Source organism: Homo sapiens, chromosome 10, assembly GCF_000001405.40.
Source record: "Homo sapiens chromosome 10, GRCh38.p14 Primary Assembly".
Taxonomy (NCBI): domain Eukaryota; kingdom Metazoa; phylum Chordata; class Mammalia; order Primates; family Hominidae; genus Homo; species Homo sapiens.
Window position 1 is genome coordinate 80224223 of NC_000010.11, and position 18103 is coordinate 80242325.

The window sequence follows — 18103 nt, forward strand, 5'->3', positions numbered from 1 at the left end:
ATCAGATAGTTTTAGATATGTGGCATTATTTCTGAGGGCTCTGTTCTGTTCCATTGATCTATATCTCTATTTTGGTACCAGTACCATGCTGTTTTGCTTACTGTAGCCTTGTAGTATAGTTTGAAGTCAGGTGGCATGACACTTCCAGCTTTGTTCTTTTGGCTTAGGATTGACCTGGCGATGCAGGCTCTTTTTTGGTTCCATATGAACTTTAAAGTAGTTTTTTCCAATTCTGTGAAGAAAGTCATTGGTAGCTTGATGGGGATCGCATTGAATCTATAAATTACCTTGGGCAGTATGGCCATTTTCACGATATTGATTCTTCCTACCCATGAGCATGGAATGTTCTTCCATTTGTTTGTATCCTCTTTTATTTCACTGGAAGCTCTTGTTTAAATTCAGTAAAGACCCAGAGGGAGGAGGTGGCATTTACTGAGCACCTCCTGTTTATAAGGAACTGTCTTCAAGTGTGCCATGGGTACAGACATAAATTAGCACCGGATATTGCTGATAAAGAGAGCACAGATTCCAGAGAGCCAAGGCTGCCTCTCAATGACTACATGCCTTAGGTTCACCCTTCAACCTCTCTGAACTTCAGTTTTCTCAACAGGTAGATGGACCAGGGTGCCCTCTAAGGATCCCAAGGAAGGGCCTTAAAAGATGAAGAGGATGTTGACAGACAGTTACTGAGAAGGAAAAGAGGAGGGCATCCTATGCAGACAAAGAGGAGGGTTTCAAGGGAAGTCCTGACATGTGTCTCCTTCCCTCGTCCCCTTGTTTGTGAAGCCGAAGGGTAAGTTCCTGATCTTTAAGCGCCTGTCCACCTGTGACTTCTGGTCAAGGGAAGGGACAGAGGAGTTGGAAAGACTTCTTGAAGGAAGAATGAAACAAACACCTGTGTTGTAGGATCCACCAACTTTAAGAAATGGAACCATGTAATTACCTTTAAAGTATTCTATAATTTATTTACACATTATTGTATATTTTGTTTACAACATTCTACTGTTGATGGACATTTAAATTATTTCCCATTGTCTCCAGGTTTATTTGTTTTTCTGGCTTGGACATCCATATGCATACATTTTTTCTTCTTCTTCTTCTTCTTCTTCTTCTTCTTCTTCTTCTTCTTCTTCTTCTTCTTTTCTTTTCTTCTCCTTCTCCTTCTCCTTCTCCTTCTCCTTCTCCTTCTTCTTCTTCTTCTTCTTCTTTTCTTCTTTTCTTCTTCTTCTCCTTCTCCTTCTCCTTCTCCTTCTCCTTCTTCTTCTTCCTCTTTCTTTTTTGTTTTTGAGACAGAGTCTGTCTCAAAAGACCCTGAGACTGTCACCCAGGCAGGGGTGCAGTGGCATGATCACAGCTCCTTGCAGCTTTGACCTTCTGGGTTCAATCGCTCCTCCCCTCTCAGCCTCCTGAGTAGCTGAGACTGCAAGCATGTACCACCATGCCTGACTAATTTTCGTATCTTTTTGTAGAGGCGAGATTTTGCCACGTTGCCCAGGCTGGTTTTGAACTCCTGGGATCAAGCAATCCTCCCGCCTCAGCCTCCTAAAGTTCTGAGATTACAGGCATAAGCCACTATAACCAGCCATGCATGCATTTCTGTCAATTACATACCCAGGGATGAAACTCTTGGATTGTAGAGGGTGTACATTTCCAACTTTATAGATCATCACGATTTGTTATCCAAAGAGGTTGCACTAATTTAAACTCGTGTCAAAAGTATGTGAGTTCCTATTGTTACAGGTAGCTAGTCAGGCATGAGCAGGGCAGGAGAGGGCTCGACCCCCACCCCCCCACCAGTAATGTCACCAACCATCAGGCAATTGTTAAACTGTCTCTAATAATGGGTCGCAGCCTGCACCAGGGAAAGGCCGTCTCCTAATAGATAGAACAAACTTGAAACTGGTGATCAGCAGCTTCCCGATAAGATCTCAGGAGTTGGGTGAGTGGGCTCAAGCATGCACACTAAGAGGCAAAATGGTGGAGTTTAACTTCTAGGGACATTCACCTGGTAGGGGAAGAATGCCTCAAGTGAGCATGCACACAACTCCAGTAAACACACTGCGTGCTCACCGCCCAACTGCTAGCAGACCACTGCACACGTGGACAGACCACTGCACACGTGGACAGCCCACTCCCAGGGAAGAATCAGGGGAGAAGGGATGTACAACCCTGGAACTATGTCAACAGATAAAACCCCAAGTCAAAGGTCAAACAGTGCACTTGATCTCTCAAGTCGCCCCCTGGCCCTTTTCCAAGTGTACTTTACTTCCTCTTAGTCCTGCTCTAAAGTTTGTTGTTGTTGTTGTTGTTGTTGTTGTTGTTTTGAGAGGGAGTCTTGCTCTGTTGCCCAGGCTGGAGTGCAGCGGTGCAATCTCAGCTCACTGCGAACTCTGCCTCCCGTGTTCAAGTGATTCTCCTGCCTCAGCCTCATGAGCAGCTGGGATTACAGGTACCTGCCACCATGCCCAGCTAATTTTTTTTTTTTTTGTATTTTTAGTTGAGATGGGGTTTCACCATGTTGGCCAGACTGGTCTCAAACTCCTGACTTATGTGATCTGCTCGCCTCGGCCTCCCAAAGTGCTAGGATTACAGGCATGTGCCACCGAGCCTGGCCTAGTTTTTTAATAAACTTTCACTTCTGCTCTAAAACTTGCCTTGGTCTCTCATTCTGCCGTATTATGCTGTTGGTCAAATTCTTTCTGCTGAGGAGGCAAGAATTGAGGTTGCTGCAGCCCCCTAGGGATTTGCCACCAGTAACACTATGATTCACTGGAAAGGCTTGAAATTGTCAGATTTTTAAAGGTTTGCTAATACAGTGGGGTAAAATGGTGTCTTACTGAGTTTTCACTTATTTTTAATACAGATGAATTAATGTATGGGGCAGGGGAGAGTCAGTGATTTCCCAGCCTCCCAATGGGGTATAGAAGCTGACATACCATTTTTCACAGGGTAAGGAGGAGATAGGGAATGTAGACAATTCTTTTGAGGGGCAGCAAGTGATGGTTAGGGAGAATGATCAACCCAGGAGACAGAAATTAACTGTAAATGATTCGCTTTGGAATTGGAGCCTGAGAGGCAGGCATTATGTTATGGAAAAGACCATCCATCCATGTGTGGTTGCATTCTTCACTCTTCTTTTCATTTCCCAGCTTCTAGGATGTCCCAGTGTCTTCCCTGTGGATCTCCCAGTACCTGCAGGTCACAGAGTAACACAGGCTGTGGCAGAGTCACCTGGGCCTCCCAGAGCAGGGAAGACTAAGCACTGGACACCAAATTTTTCCACAATTAAAAATACACATGGCCGGGTGCGGTGGTTCACGCCTGTAATCCCAACACTTTGGGATGCTAAGATGGGCGGATCACATGAGTTCAGGAGTTTGAGACCAGCCTGGCCAACATAGTGAAACCCTGTCTCTACTAAAAATACAAAAATTAGCTTAGTGTGGTAGCATACACCTGTAATCTCAGCTACTCGGGAGGCTGAGGCAAGAGAGTCACTTGAACCCAGGAAGCGGAGATTGCAGTGAGTCGAGATCACGCCACTGCACTCTCCAGCCTGGGCCACAGAGCAAGACTCCATCTCAAAAAAATAAATAAGTAAAATAAAGAAAAAAATACACATGTATTCATACAAGTGTTGATATTTTGAGTTTTTTTTGTGAAAATATGTTTATTTCATTTGTCTCTTTTTCTATTATCTTTTTTCTTATTAATATGTAAGATTTAAAATATATATTCTTTGCCAGACGCAGTGGCTCATACCTGTAATCCCAGCACTTTGGGAGGCTGAGGCGAGAGGATCATTTGAACCCAGGAGTCCGAGACTAGCCTGGGCAACATAGTGGGACCCACGTCTCTACAAAAAATAGAAAAATTAGCTGAGCGTGTGTCATGTGCCTGTAGTCCCCGCTACTTGGGAGGCGGAGGTTGGAGGATCACTTGAGCCTAGGAGGTCAAAACCACAGTGAGCTACGATTGCACTACTACAGTCCAGCACGGGTGACAGAGTGAGACATCATCTCTAAATAAATTAATTAAATATATATCCTAGAAACAACTCCCTTATCAATTATGTGTATTGTAAATCTTACATCCCATTCTGTAGCTTGCCCTTTTACCTTCTTATAGTGTCATTTGAAGAATAGAAGTTTTTAATTATAATATAACTGTGGTAGGCAGAATTCTCACGACCCTCACCCTTTTAAGATGCCCCCCTGAAGAGTGGACAGAACCTGTGAATATAGCAGGATGTCACTTCTGTGATCATGCTGCATATATGGCAAAAGAAATTTTGCAGGTGTAACTAGGATTACTAATTGGTTGCATATGAGTTAATCAAGAGGGAGATTATCTAGGTGGGCCCAACCTCATCACATGATCCCTTCAATCTGGGGTCTAGGGACCAGAGACAGAAAACTTCAGAGAGTGTCAAATTGCAGGAAAAACTTGGCAAGCAAATCTGGCTGGTGTTTTTAGTTGTTTGTTTGTTTGTTTGTTTGTTTTTAAGACAGGGTCTCACTCTGTGGCCCAGGCTGGAGTGCACTGGTGCAATCTCCACTCACTGCAACCTCTGCCTCCCAGGTTCAAGTGATTCTCGTGCCTCAGCCTCCTGCATAGCTGGGACTATAGGCACGTACCACCACTCCCAGCTAATTTTTGTATTTTTTTGTAGAGACAGAGTTTCGCCATGTTGGCTAGGCTGGTCTCAAACTCCTGACCTCAAGTGATCCACAGGCCTTGGCCTCCCAAAGTGCTGGGATTACAGGCAGTGAGTGAGTCACTGTGCCTGGCCAAGGCTGACTTTGAAGATGGAGGAGGCTACGTGCAGATGCCCTCCAGGAACTAAGAGCAGGTCCTGCCTGATAGCCGACAAGGACCTAGACAAGGACCCCGAGACCTCCATCCTACAACTTTAGGGAGATGAACCTGTCACAAGCATGTGAGCGTGAAAGAGGACTCAGGGCTCCAGGTGAGAACACAGCCCTGCTGGCACCTTGATTGAAGCTGGCAAGACCCCAAGTGGAAAGCTCAGCCACACCACGCCTGGGCCTCTGGCCTACAGATCCACAAGCTAACAGTTGGCTTTAAGCTGCTAAATTTGAGGATTGGTTGTGTAGCACTGGCAAACAAACATAGTAGTTGTATTCATCAGCATTTTTCTGTATTTATTTCACCTTCTGAGCTTAAAAAAATCATTCTTGGAAGGCTGGGCGCAGTGGCTCATGCCTGTAATCCCAGCACTTTGGGAGGCTGAGCTGGGTGTATCACTTGAGGTCAGGAGTTCAAGACCAGCCTGGCCAACATGGTGAAACCCCATCTCCACTAAAAATACAAAAATTGGCCAGGTATGGTGGTGGGTGCCTGTAATCCCAGCTACTTGGGAGGCCTAGGCAGGAGAATCACTTGAATCCAGGAGGCAGAGGTTGCAGTGAGCCAAGATCACACCACTGCACCCCAGCCTGGGTGACGGAGGGAGATTCTGTCTCAAAAAAAAAAAATCATTCTCATAATTGATATTTTCTTCTAAAATTTTTACAGTTTAATTTTTCACATTTAAGTATTCCAAATCAAATTTTTTCTATGGTATGAGGTAGAGCTCTGGTTTCTCTTTTCCCCCATAATGATAACAATTTTTCCTGGAACTACTTATTGAAGAGCCCATCATTTCTTCACAGATCTGCAATTACAATTCAGTCATGAATCCAATTTCTATGTAAAGGAGCGTTGGTTTCTGGCCTCTTTATTTTGTGTCATTATTTAACTTGTCTATCACGGTGTAATTGTGTAAACCAGTCTGCCTTAATTACTGTAGCTTCCTAGTTATCTGCTAGATGTCTGCTAAAGTAACTTCCTCATCTTATTCTTCAAGAGTATCTTGGCTTTTGGCTTTTTCAAATAAGATTTAAAATAGATTATCAAATTTCATTACAGGCTCACTCCTGTAATCCCAGCACTTTGGGAGGCTGAGGCGGATGGATCACCTGAGGTCAGGAGTTTGAGACCAGCCTGGCCAAAATGGGGAAATCCTGTCTCTACTAAAAATGCGAAAATTAGCTGGGTGTGGTGGCGTAAGCCTGTACTGCCAGCTACTAGGGAGACTGAGGCAGGAGACAGGAGAATCACTTGAACCTGGGAGGCGGAGATTGCAGTGAGCTGAGATCACACCTTTGCATTATATCCTGGGCCACAGAGCAAGACTCCGTATCAAAAAAAAAAAAAAAAAAGCTGTTAGGATTTGTTTGAATTATAGTACATGTTGTAGCTATAAATCAGTTGGGAGACTGACATCTTCAAAAGACTGAATATCCCAATCTATAAATATGGCCCTATCCTTTTCAAACTAATGCAGGAACAGAAAACCAAACACTACATGTTCTCATGTATAAGTGAGAGACAAATAATGAGCACACATGGATGCATAGAGGGGAACAACAGACTCTGGGGCCTATGGGAAGATGGAGGGTGGGAAGAGGGAGAGGAGCAGAAAAAATAACTAGTGGGTACTGGGCTTAATACCTGGGTGATGAAATAATCTGTGCAGCAAACTCCCATGACGAGAGTTTAACTATGTAACAAACCTGCACATGTACTCCTGAACTTCAAATAAAAGCTAGAATATGACCTGCGTCTCTTTTGCCTAAGACTTCTTTAATGTTTTTCTCTTGTTCTTGTTGTTTTTGTTTTTGTTTTGTTTTTGAGACACAGTCGCATTCTGTTGCCCAGGCTAAAGTGCAATGGCACGACCTCGGCTCACTGCAACCTCTGCCTTCCGGGTTCTAAGAGGTTCTCCTGCCTCAGCCTCCCCAGTAGCTAAGATTACAGGCACATGCCACCATGCCCAGCTACTTTTGTATTTTTAGTAGATACGGGGTTTCCCCAAGTTGGCCACGCTGGACTCGAATTCCTGACCTCAGGTGATCCACCTGCCTCAGCCTCCTAAAGTGCTGGGATTATAGGCGTGAGTCACCATGCCTGGCCTCTTTAATAGCTTTCATAAAGATATATAATTTTTTCCACTTACACATCTTTTGTTAAATTTATTTTTAGGCATTTTGTATCCTTTATTGTAACCATAAATGGTATCTTTTTAAAATTTGTCTTTTCTGTTTGTGGCTGCTAGAAGTACGAATGATTTTTATATTTTGTATCCCACATTCTTGCTGAATATTCTTATCCATACTTTAAAAAAAAAAAAATTTGAGATGGTCTTTCACCACGTTGCCCAGGCTGGTCTCGAACTCCTAAGCTCAAGCAATCCTCCCACCTCGGACTCCCAAAGTGCTGGGATTACAGGCATGAGCTACTGCACCAGGCCTAAATATTCTTATCCATTCTAATAACTTAGCTGTAGATTCTCTTTGCCTTAATTTCTTTAATAGATATAGGATAATTTGGATTTTGTAATTTGTGTCTTTTGAGGAAATTTGTCAGTTTCATCTAGCTGTCAAGTTTATTGACTTGAAGTTGTTTATAATATTCTTTTATTTTTAATATCTGTAGGATTTAATTGATATCTTCTTTTTGTTCTCAAAATTGGACATTATGTCTTTTTTCCTGACGAGTCTTGCTGGAAGTCTTGTTTTGTTTCTGCTAGGATTTTATCATGTAGTTGTGTTGTATTGTCCATGAGTTTTTGGTTTTGTCATCTAGTTACTCCGTTGGTGTGTGATGATGAGGGGAGATTTAAAAGTGACGTCATCGTCATTGCTGCCATTTTCTAGAAACCTACGCTTTTATTTTTGAAGTATATTTCAGTGGGTAGAATTTTATGTTGGCAGATTTTTTTCATTTCAACATGAAAAATGTCATTCCGTGGGTTTCTGGCTTCTGTAGTTTCTGATGAAAAGTCCTTCTCCTACTTATTGTTGTTTCTTTGAAAGTAATATGTCTTTTTTTCCTCTGGCTTCTTTTGAATGTCTCCTTTTATCTTTTTTTTAGCAATTTAATCACGACTTTTTTTCTATTCACCTGCTTAGGATTTGCAGACATTCCTGTCTGTGAATTAATGTCTTTTATTTGTTTTGAGATTTGTGGGGGAACATTTTCTCTTTTTTAAAATTTCCTTTTATTTTTATTTTTATTTTTTTGTTGTTGTTGTTGTTGTTGTTGTTGTTGTTGTTGTTGTTGTTGTTGAGACAGAGTCTCACTCTGTCACCCAGGCTGGAGTGCAGTGGTGCGATCTTGGCTCACTGCAAACATCGCCTTCTGGGTTCATGCCATTCTCCTGCCTCAGCCTCCCAAATAGCTGGGACTACAGGCGCCCGCCACCACACCCAGCTAATTTTTTGTATTTATGGTAGAGACGGGGTTTCCCTGTGTTAGCCAGGAAGGGTTCGATCTTCTGACCTTGTGATCCACCTGCCTCGGCCTCCCACAGTGCTGGGATTACAGGCATGAGCCACCGTGCCCGGCCTATTTATTTATGTTTTTTGAGACAGAGTCTCACACTGTCGTCCAGACTGGAGTGCAGTGGTGCAATCTTGGCTCACTGCAACCTTCGCCTCCCAGGTTCAAGCAATTCTCCTGCCTCAGCCTCCAGAGTAGCTGGAACTACAGGCACCCACCACCATGCCCGGATAATTTTTGTATTTTTAGTAGAGGTGCTCTCTACCTCCTGTTATGGAGGAGGTAGAAACTGGTCTCAGTCTGGTCCAGTCTGGTCTCAAACTCCTGACCTCAAGTGATCTGCCCGCCTCGGCCTCCCAAAGTGCTGGGATTACAGGTGTGAACCACTGTACCCAACCCCATTTTCTCTTTAAATAGAGGTACTGTTCCACTTCCTTTCTGGTTCTGGGACTCTAATTCCTCACAAGTTAGACCTGTCTGGTATGTTCCACGTCTCTTGTTAACTTTCCTATATTTCCCATCTTTTTCTCTCTCTCTCTAACCTTCAATTTCAGTGTTTTCTACTAACCTAACTTCCACTTCTTTAATCCTCTCTTCTGTTTTGTCTAATTTGCTGATAAATCCATCTATTGGGTTTTTAATTTCTGTTATTTTCTCAATTCTATATTCTTTTTAATCCTTAAAAAATAAAGTCCAGGTATTTGGTGAAATTCTCTATATTTTCTTGTTATTTTATTTTATTTTTTTGAGACAGAGTTTCACTCTTGTAGCCCAGGATGGGGTGCAATGGTACGATCTCAGCTCATGCAACCTCTGCCTCTTGGGTTCAAGCAATTCTCCCATCTCAGCCTCCCAAGTAGCCGGGACTACAGGTGTGCACCACCACACCCGGTCAATTTTTGTATTTTTGGTAGAGATCGGGTTTTACCATGTTAGCCAAGCTTGTCTCAAACTCCTGACTTCCAGTGATCTGCCCACCTCAGCCTCCCAAAGTGCTGGGATTACAGGTGTGAGCCACTGCACCCCACCAATATTGACTTTTTAAGCTATGTAATAGATTGACACTCACCATAAGCCTCTGCCCTTGTTCTGCAGGTCGTGAAGGTGTTGATTGTCCTGACCCCACAGTTTCTGTCCCGTGACAAGGACCAGCTGACCAAGGAGCTGCAGCAGCATGTAAAGTCAGTGACAGTCTCATGCAAGTCCCCAAGGAAGGTGAGTGAGGGCAGATGGAAGGGGTCTGGTGCCCCTGAATAGCTCCCAGTGCTTCTGCCCCATGTCTCATAGGGTGGCTGTGCAGGGGAAAGCTTAGGCAGTCACAGTACTGGCTTTTTCTTCTGCAGAAGAAGGAATTTGGTTTAGGGATGGGATGGCATAGTTGATTTATTTGGATGGAAATTGCTATCTTGTGTAAGAAACGCAAAAGGAATCATTGCTGGCATGTTAACCTAAAGACAAAAATCAGTCAAGTGCCCAAGGATATTTTTAAAAAGGTTATTTATAGTCCTGTACAAATTTAAAAAAAAAATCCAAATCAGCAGCTTTCAAACTTTTTCTAACATGATTCATAGGAAGAAATATGTTCTGTTTTGCAACTCAAAATATATATACATACATATAACAAACAAAAATTAGTAGAATGATATTTATCTTTATAAATGCAATGCATTCTGATATGTTTATTTTAATTCAATGCCTTGTGCAACCTACAAAAAGTCAAACAATAGAGAAATAAGGTTTTCATAAAATTGAATATAACCCTGCAATTTAAAATAATGATTCAGTTTTTTATATATTTAACATATATCTCAACACATATTAAGAGAAAAAAGCGTACTGTGAAAAAGTATACGTGGTATTATCCTACCCGTTTGAAAATAAAGTGCAAAGAGATACATATGCCAAAAAGTTAACACTTCCTTCTTTGTAATACTTTGCTGCAGTGTCTGAGTATTTACAGTCAATACACATTATGAAGCTACATGGCTAACCTTGACTGAGTACTCACTGTGTGTGCCAGCCCCTAGGCTCAATGCTTTACATGGATTTTTATTTCATTAAATCCTCTCCTCCACCTGAGATAGCATAGCAAACCATTTTACAAAAACAAAACTGAGGCTCGGAGACTCAAAGTCAAATGCCCGAGGTTGCAGTCATTAAGAGGCAGGGCTGAAACTGAAACCTATGTGTGTCTGACAACAAGTTCATGTTCTGAGGGTAGGCTAGCCTGCTTCACAGAGCATGAAATAGATGGTGCATGCCTGCTACGATGGGCCAGATATCACTGTAGGTTCAGTGGACAGCCCCAGACAATGGAAATTTACAACACTGAAGGTTCTTATCCTGCTCATGCGGCACGTCCACCATGGCTCTGCTGGGCCTTGTGCTTCACATCCCCTCATCCACCAACAGGATAAAAGGAGCAGCCTCCACCTGTCAGCTTCTCTAAGAGATGGAGGAGAGGGTGGCCAGTCTCAGTGGCTCCCAACTCTTCTGTCTTGAAGTGACACGCTTCACTTCCACTCACAGGTCCTGAGTCACATCACACGGCTACATCCACCTTCAAAGGGTCAAGGGGAGAACCTGACACACTCGGTGGATTCCATTAAGGCCACCATATGGTGTCAGCCTGTGTGGGAGACTGTGGAGGGGCAGAGGAGGAGGGTAGGGAATTGGTAAGTCACTGTGGATTTCCCTTATACTTAACCAGATGGAGTTTGTCCCGGAGCTGCCGAAAACTGTCACTGGAAAGATTAAACAAGGTGAACTTGAGAAAAGGAGCTTGGTCAGATGTAATCAGCAGTGAACTCGGAACCAACTGGCACCTTCGGCAAATCCCTGGCCACTTCAGTCTCCCCACTAGGGCGGGGTGATGATGAGACATTGAGAGGGTTGATTTGGAAAAGCATCAGGAGGGCCACAATTCCAATGTTTTTCTTTTCTTTTTCTTTCTTTTCTTTTTTTTTTTTTTTTTTGAGACAGAACTTCATTCTTGTTGCCCAGGCTGGAGTGCAGTGGCGTGATCCTGGCTCACTGCAACCTCCGCCTCCTGGGTTCAAGCCCTTCTCCCATCTCAGCCTCCTGAGTAGCTGGGACTGCAGGTGCCCGCCACCACACCCAGCTAATTTTTGTATTTTTAGTAGAAATAGAGTTTCACCGTGTTGGCCAGGCTGGTCTTGAACTACTGTCCTCAGGTGATCCACCCACCTCAGCATTTCAAAATGCTGGGATTTCAGGCGTGAGCCACCGCACCCGGACTGTTTTTGTTATTTTAAGTTACATTCAGTTACTCTGCTTCCTCCAAGTCCTCTCTGTGTCTTTAGAATTTCCCAGGTGAGTACACAGATTGGAGTTCCAGGTAATAAAATATTAATTTCGACAATACCCTGTGTGAAGCATTTGTTCTGGGAATGAACCTATGTTAAATGCCCTCCTTCTGTAGTTCTCCCTAATCCACAACCTGAAATATGTTGAGACCAGATTCTCCCTCCTGGCACCAGTTTCTCAGGGTAGCCCTAAGCACCCTTCAATGGCCAAGACACAGGGGTCCAGGAGGTGTGCCCCATGTGGCACCGGGCACGTGCCTGTGCCCTGGAGTGAGGCCCCAGGAAGGCCGGGGCAGGGCAGATGTCCTGGGTGGTCAGCCTTGGCTTGGGGACTATATTTGCCTGCCAGACCACCGCTGCCTCCCCCACCCAATGGTCCTTTGTGTCCCCCAATAGTGCCCATGTGCACATGTGCCCCAGCCTAAACCTGGCATGTGTGAGTGAGGGCCTCAGCCTCTGGGCACCCAGCACTCCTCTAGCCCTGCCCCTAGCTATCCCCTGTAGTCACCTACACATCAGACCTTCCAAGTGGCCCAGGAGCTCTGTCCCCGAGCCCTTCCTAGAGGACCTCACTCATTCACCCTCCCAGGGCCCAGGCTCCCTCCAGCCCAGAATCCTCCCCCAACAGACAATCTTCCTTCTTTCAGTATAACTCTCTCCGGCGACCCAGAGTCCTCCTCACAACCCTGGCCTGGAGTCCTGTGACCTGACCCTTCATGCCATCCCTCCTTGGGGCCTAAGAGGGACCACCAGGGGGCCACCAGAGGCTCAGAAAAGCAGGGGCAGAAAAGGCCCTGCCGGGGGATGAGAGAAGCACATGCTGTCCCCTTCTCAGCCACTCCTGGAGGTCAGCATTGGAGAGGCCTCTCTGTGACTGCCAACTTCCGAGGTGCACAAACCCAGAAACTCACAGGGAGATAAACAGATACCGCAAGCACAGAGACACAGGGGCACAAAACCACCCCAGCTTCACCTGGGCACTCAGGAGTATGGCCCACGGACAGGCACATAAACACACACACCAGGAGGACACAGATACACACACAGAACCATGAGACACAGCCCCACAGGGCTGACTCTACACACAGTGGACACCCACGTGTGCGCACACGTGCTCACATACACACACACACACACACACACACACACACACTGGCACAGACCCACAGGCAGAGAATCAGACATAGAACACACACACTACACAAAACATAAACACACAAATACAAACACAATCAGGGACACCCAAAGGAGAAGCAAATTCACACGCACACACCTCAACACATACACAAAGATACAGAAGCCAGGTATACACAGACACTCTCACCGGGGGCACACATGCCAGAGACACACACATTACCCAATCAGAAACACAAACACAGATTTGCACAACCAACACACACTCATTCAGAAAGAAAGGACACCCAAATGCGTACAAAGATAGAGAAAAACACAGAGCCACCCTGAGACAGCTACACAGAGACATAATCACAGACACAGACACTCAGATGCACAGATGAATATATGCAGATTTACGCACCCAAACATGCACACACTCCCAGACCCCAGCCCACAGTACAACCAGAGGTGGCACTCCAGAGGGCAATCCTGGGACCAGCGGACAGAACAGACCCAGGCATGACCTGGCCCTCCTGAGCTCTCTTGGAAGAAAGTATTTTCCAGGTTTCAAACCCAGGGCTGGGGATGTGCCCCTTCCAGGGCCTACAGAAGGGCTGTGCCTGGGCCCAGAGATGTCAGAGAGAGGCCAGGGTTGGGTGACTCTGGGAACAGGAGCACAAGGTTGCGCCCAGTACCCTGTCTGGGTATGCTTAGAGTGGGGGTGTTATGTGGTGCTTAGGAGATCTAGAGGTCAAGAGAGAAAGACAGATGTGCCCCCAGAACCATGCCCTGTGCCTGAGTGGGCTGGCACTCTCTGCGTCACAATAATGCTATGAGGAACATGCTATGATATATCCCCATCATCACAGCTGTGACTGACCCTCACTCATAGATGGAGGTGCTGGGCTGGGAACACAGCCACCTGGTTGGACCTCATCTGAGCAGGACTGACCAGGGCAACACTGGGTCCTGGGCAAAGCATCTCTGTGGCCGCATCTTCCTGGGGAGTCTCCAGACCCAGGTTCCCCTTCTCCTAATGTCCCCTCCGATAATCAAGCTCCCCCAGATCTGTTTCTCTGCCTGGATACACCCCCTCCCCCAACCACTCTGAACCTACATCCCCATCTGTGTAAAGGAACAGTGATAGTACTTCAGGATCTCAGGAGATGATGCCTGCGAAGTGCTATGCTTAGCACAGTGGCGACAAGAGGGGCTGCTGTTGTCATCATCACTGCCTTTAGTGGCCAAGGACCTCCCAAGGTGCCAGTTCTGGGAAGAAAGATGCCCCTGGGAGGTTACAATGCTCAGGTACACAGCTGCTCAGCCACTTCCTGCTGTCTTCTGATAGTCTTTGCACACAGCCATTAGCACTCCAGTTGTACAGAAGGAATCCAGCCCAGCGTTGCACAGTTGGTCACCCAAGGTGCCTCGTCCTGCCAAGGGCCCCTGGCCAAGCCTCCAAGGGACCATGAGGGGCCCGCCTGCAAGGGAGGTTGACTCTGGCTTTGGGGAGGTGTTTCCTGGTTACATGAATGACTTCTTGTCTGAGGGCCCAAACTCTGTTCGCTTCTCCTTCCTTTCCCTCTCTCTGCTTGGGCTATAATCAAGGTGACCCCACAACACTTCATGGACATCACAGGTCTCCCATTCACTTTCAGGCTAATCTGACTTCAACTCCCCTTACTTGGTCTTTCCTTTTACAACCAAGACAACTCAAATCTGGGGGTCTTTATGCAGGTGACAGCACACAAATAGAATTTAATTCCATTGTTTTGTTGTCCCTGTTTTGTTTTGTTTTGCTTGTTTCTTAGGGTTTCTTTTTATTTATGGTAAAGGCATTGGCTTTCCATTTACAACGGTGATAGAATATTTCCTGTTTACAATAACCTTGTGTCATCATAAATGCTGAAGGGATTTAAAGCAGTGGTTTTAGGCTGCCAGAGGACTGAGTGAGTTTGGGCACACTCTGCATCATCAGGCAGAAGAAGGCCTTTGGGAAGTTTAGCTAAGGACAAGGCCAGCAAAGCTGATGGCCAGTTGGGGTGTCTCTCCTGGTCACCAGGCCCCTGGGTCCTGCCCACCTGCTTGACACTCCCCATCCATCACTCCTGGTGCTGCCAAGCCCTCTGGGTATTGTGGCCAAATCCTCCAGGAGAGAAGCTGATGAACTTTGTCTCTTGAAATACACAGATTCCTTGGACATCCCTGGGAGGTCAATCATGAGAGTCAACTTGGTTTTCTTTCCCTCATTAGGGTTCAAAGCTTAAAGTCCATGCTCACAGGCAGTAAGATGACATAGATAAGTGACATCATTACCCCGGTTCAGATGTTAAAGTGTCCAGGTGGATTAGGGATGATTTAAGACCACACAACCTTGTGCCACAAAGTGGAATTCCCAGGCCAGATGGAGACATTTTATTGCCGTATTATGATCTTATCATTGAGTGCAAAGGCAGTCTTGTTTCATTTTGGATTATTTCTTATGTTTCTGTCTTACTTATAAGGGCGTTGGAATTTCCAAGCATATGAGAATTTGTGGTTAGCTTTTTATCATTGACTTCTAGCATAATTATATGATCAGAAACACGCTATGTGATTTGATTTCTCTGAAATGATTGAGATTTGCTTGATGAACAAAATAAGTAGGGTTAATTTTTGTAAATGTACCATGTGTGCTTAAAATGAATGTATCTCCAACATTTATTCCCAATATACAAGGATGATGGACGGATGGCTACATGGAAGTGATGGAAATGGCTTACTATTCGGACCTTCTACATCCTACTGGTGTTTTGTTGCTTAGTACATGAATTGCTGAGAGGGGGCTGTGGAGCCTCCCACTCTGCTTGTCTATGAGGTTCTTCCTGCCTTCCTGCCATCATTTGTTTCTCATGTTTTGCAGCCAGGACTGACCATGAGGAACCCTGAGAACTCAAGAAGGAAGGAGCGGCCCAGAAGCAAGGACAGGAAGCTGGGTTTTGTAAAGCGTGTCTTGTGCAGATCACTGATTTACCCAAACCAGAAAGGGTCTTAAAGTGCTTATGATTGTCCAAATATAAAGAAATGACAGGTTTCTACTTTGAAAGTTTTCACCCTCACATTATAAAACCTCTCCACTACACTCAGGAGAGGGTGCTTTATGGAGATGAGAATATTTTTTCTGACTGGCATGCACCAGATTCTTAGGAAGAGATTTGGAAGTCTAGTGATGGGGAGCAACCACTGCATCCAGGCAGAATCACCCCACATGAATGCCTCCAATCAAAGAATCTATTGTTTCTTTTGAGGCTATGAAGGAGGAAATGTGTTGAGAATCTTTGTTGGAATTGTTTCCCCTTTACCTGGCTGCATTTTCATAGATCAGTTAAACTCTCTTTCCCTACCTCACCTTTGAAGACTTGGATACATTTTCCTCATTGCATTTTCTACTTTCACCCTTGCTCATGGCTATCGACTGTCAGAACCGAAGCTTTTACTGGCCCCATTGGACCTAATCTAGGTAGGAGCCCACTACTGATAACCTACAACCAGATAGTTGTCAGGTGTGACAAGAGTGCCCAAGATGGGGGATGAGTTCCTGGTCAATGACAAGATGGCCTTTATCCTTCTTGTACATTTGATCCACATCTTTAACCATTGTGCCCAGAGCTCCTACTCCTTTTCAGACAGAGGCTCCTCAGGGACAGTGCATCCCTCCCAGGAGCCCAGGCTGTACTCACCTCCACTGTGAGGCTGAAGACAAAAGTGCTACAGAGGTCAAAGGCTGCTTTCTAAAGAGGTTTTATTTGCACAAAACTGAGTCTTGGTGTGTGGATTGGTCTGAATTACATTTTGAATTTATTTTCTCCCCCAATACTTGTAAATCTAGTGCTTGTAAAATAGTATGTGTGCCTTTTGTGGTGGTGGCCATACATTCCAGAACATTTATATTGTTTTCCATGCAGATTTCCAAGGTTGCTACTGATTGCTTTAGGTGCAATGCTCTAAAATATGAAGGTGAACTCTTGTTACTGGTTATTTGGTGGGCTTTTTTTGATGGGGAGGATGGAGTCTCGCTCTGTCGCTAGGCTGGAGTGCAGTGGAGCCATCTCGGCTCACTGCAACTTTCGCCTCCCGGGTTCAAGTGATTCTCCTGCCTCAGTCTCCCTAGTAGCTGGGACTACAGGTGTATGCCATCATGCTCAGCTAATTTTTGTATTTTTAGTACAGACGGGGTTTCACCATGTTGGCCAGGATGGTCTCGATCTATTGACCTCGTGATCCTCCCGCCTCGGCCTCCCAAAGTGCTGGGATTACAGGCGTGAGCTACTGTGCCTGGCCGGTGTTGTATTTTTAACTAAATTCAATTCTCACAGTTTTAATCATAATTCCAAAAAGACTTTGTTATGCAAATTCTTTTTGACTTTGAAAATCTGACATGACGTGCGCTGTGTCAGCAGCAAAGTGAACACTGATTTTAGAAACTTGGGCTAAACAACCATCTGTGATTATTTTTGTTGGAATATAACCCAGGTATTATTATTATAGCAGCTGTCCACTCTCGGTTTTGCATAGATATAAACATATCTTTATGTCATATTTTCATCTATAACTTTAAGACTTTTTTCTTATATTTTTCTCATTCTTCCATCATACAGTGTGGACTCTTTTTTTATATATTACAAATAATGTAACACAAATTTCTAAATATTTATTTATTTATTGTTTTGAGACGGAGTTTCCTCTTGTTGCCCAGGCTGGAGTGCAGCTGGGTGGTCTTGGCTCACCACAACCTGTGCCTCCTGGGTTCAAGCGATTCTTCTTCCTCAGCCTCCTCAGCCTCCCAATTAGCTGGGATTACAGGCACCTGCCACCATACCCAGAGAATTTTTGTTTTAGTAGAGATGGGGTTTCTCCATGTTGGCCAGGCTGGTCACAAACTCTTGACCTCAGGTAATCCACCTGCCTCAGCCTCCCAAAGTGCTGAGATTACAGGCATGAGCCACTGCACCCACCCTCCACCTTGGTTATTTTTAAGCACTAAAATTTGATACTTATTTCTGAATGAAGTCATCTCTTAATTGTATTTTTTTACTTATATTCTTTAAATTGCAAAGATTCATGTAATTCAAGAAAGAAGTGGGATCCAGAGAGATTCCTTTATCATGTGATACATGACAAATACATTCAATGTTATATTTCAATCTAAAAAATAAGTAAATGACTTTAAAGATAATCACTTTATACCTAGTTTGTCCAACCCATGGGTGGCAGAGTGTATTCAACCCGGGACAGCTTTTCTGAATGCAGCCCAACACAAATTTCTAAACTTTCTT

General features: G+C 44.7%; 1 long non-coding RNA gene across 1 annotated transcript, besides 1 other annotated feature; it reads left to right on the top strand.

The window, feature by feature from the left end:
• Positions 1-4672: 4672 nt before the first annotated feature.
• LOC124902470 (uncharacterized) lies at positions 4673-11730 on the top strand. The gene is made up of 3 exons (XR_007062217.1): positions 4673-4969; positions 9442-9561; positions 11057-11730. It is a non-coding gene; the product is annotated as an uncharacterized LOC124902470 (long non-coding RNA).
• Positions 10497-10886: an enhancer, noted in NCBI's record as "active region_3652". NCBI's record gives its function as "activates an Ori minimal core promoter by ATAC-STARR-seq in GM12878 lymphoblastoid cells {active_cell/tissue: GM12878}" and the evidence as "EXISTENCE:reporter gene assay evidence [ECO:0000049][PMID:35858748]".
• Positions 11731-18103: the final 6373 nt, after the last annotated feature.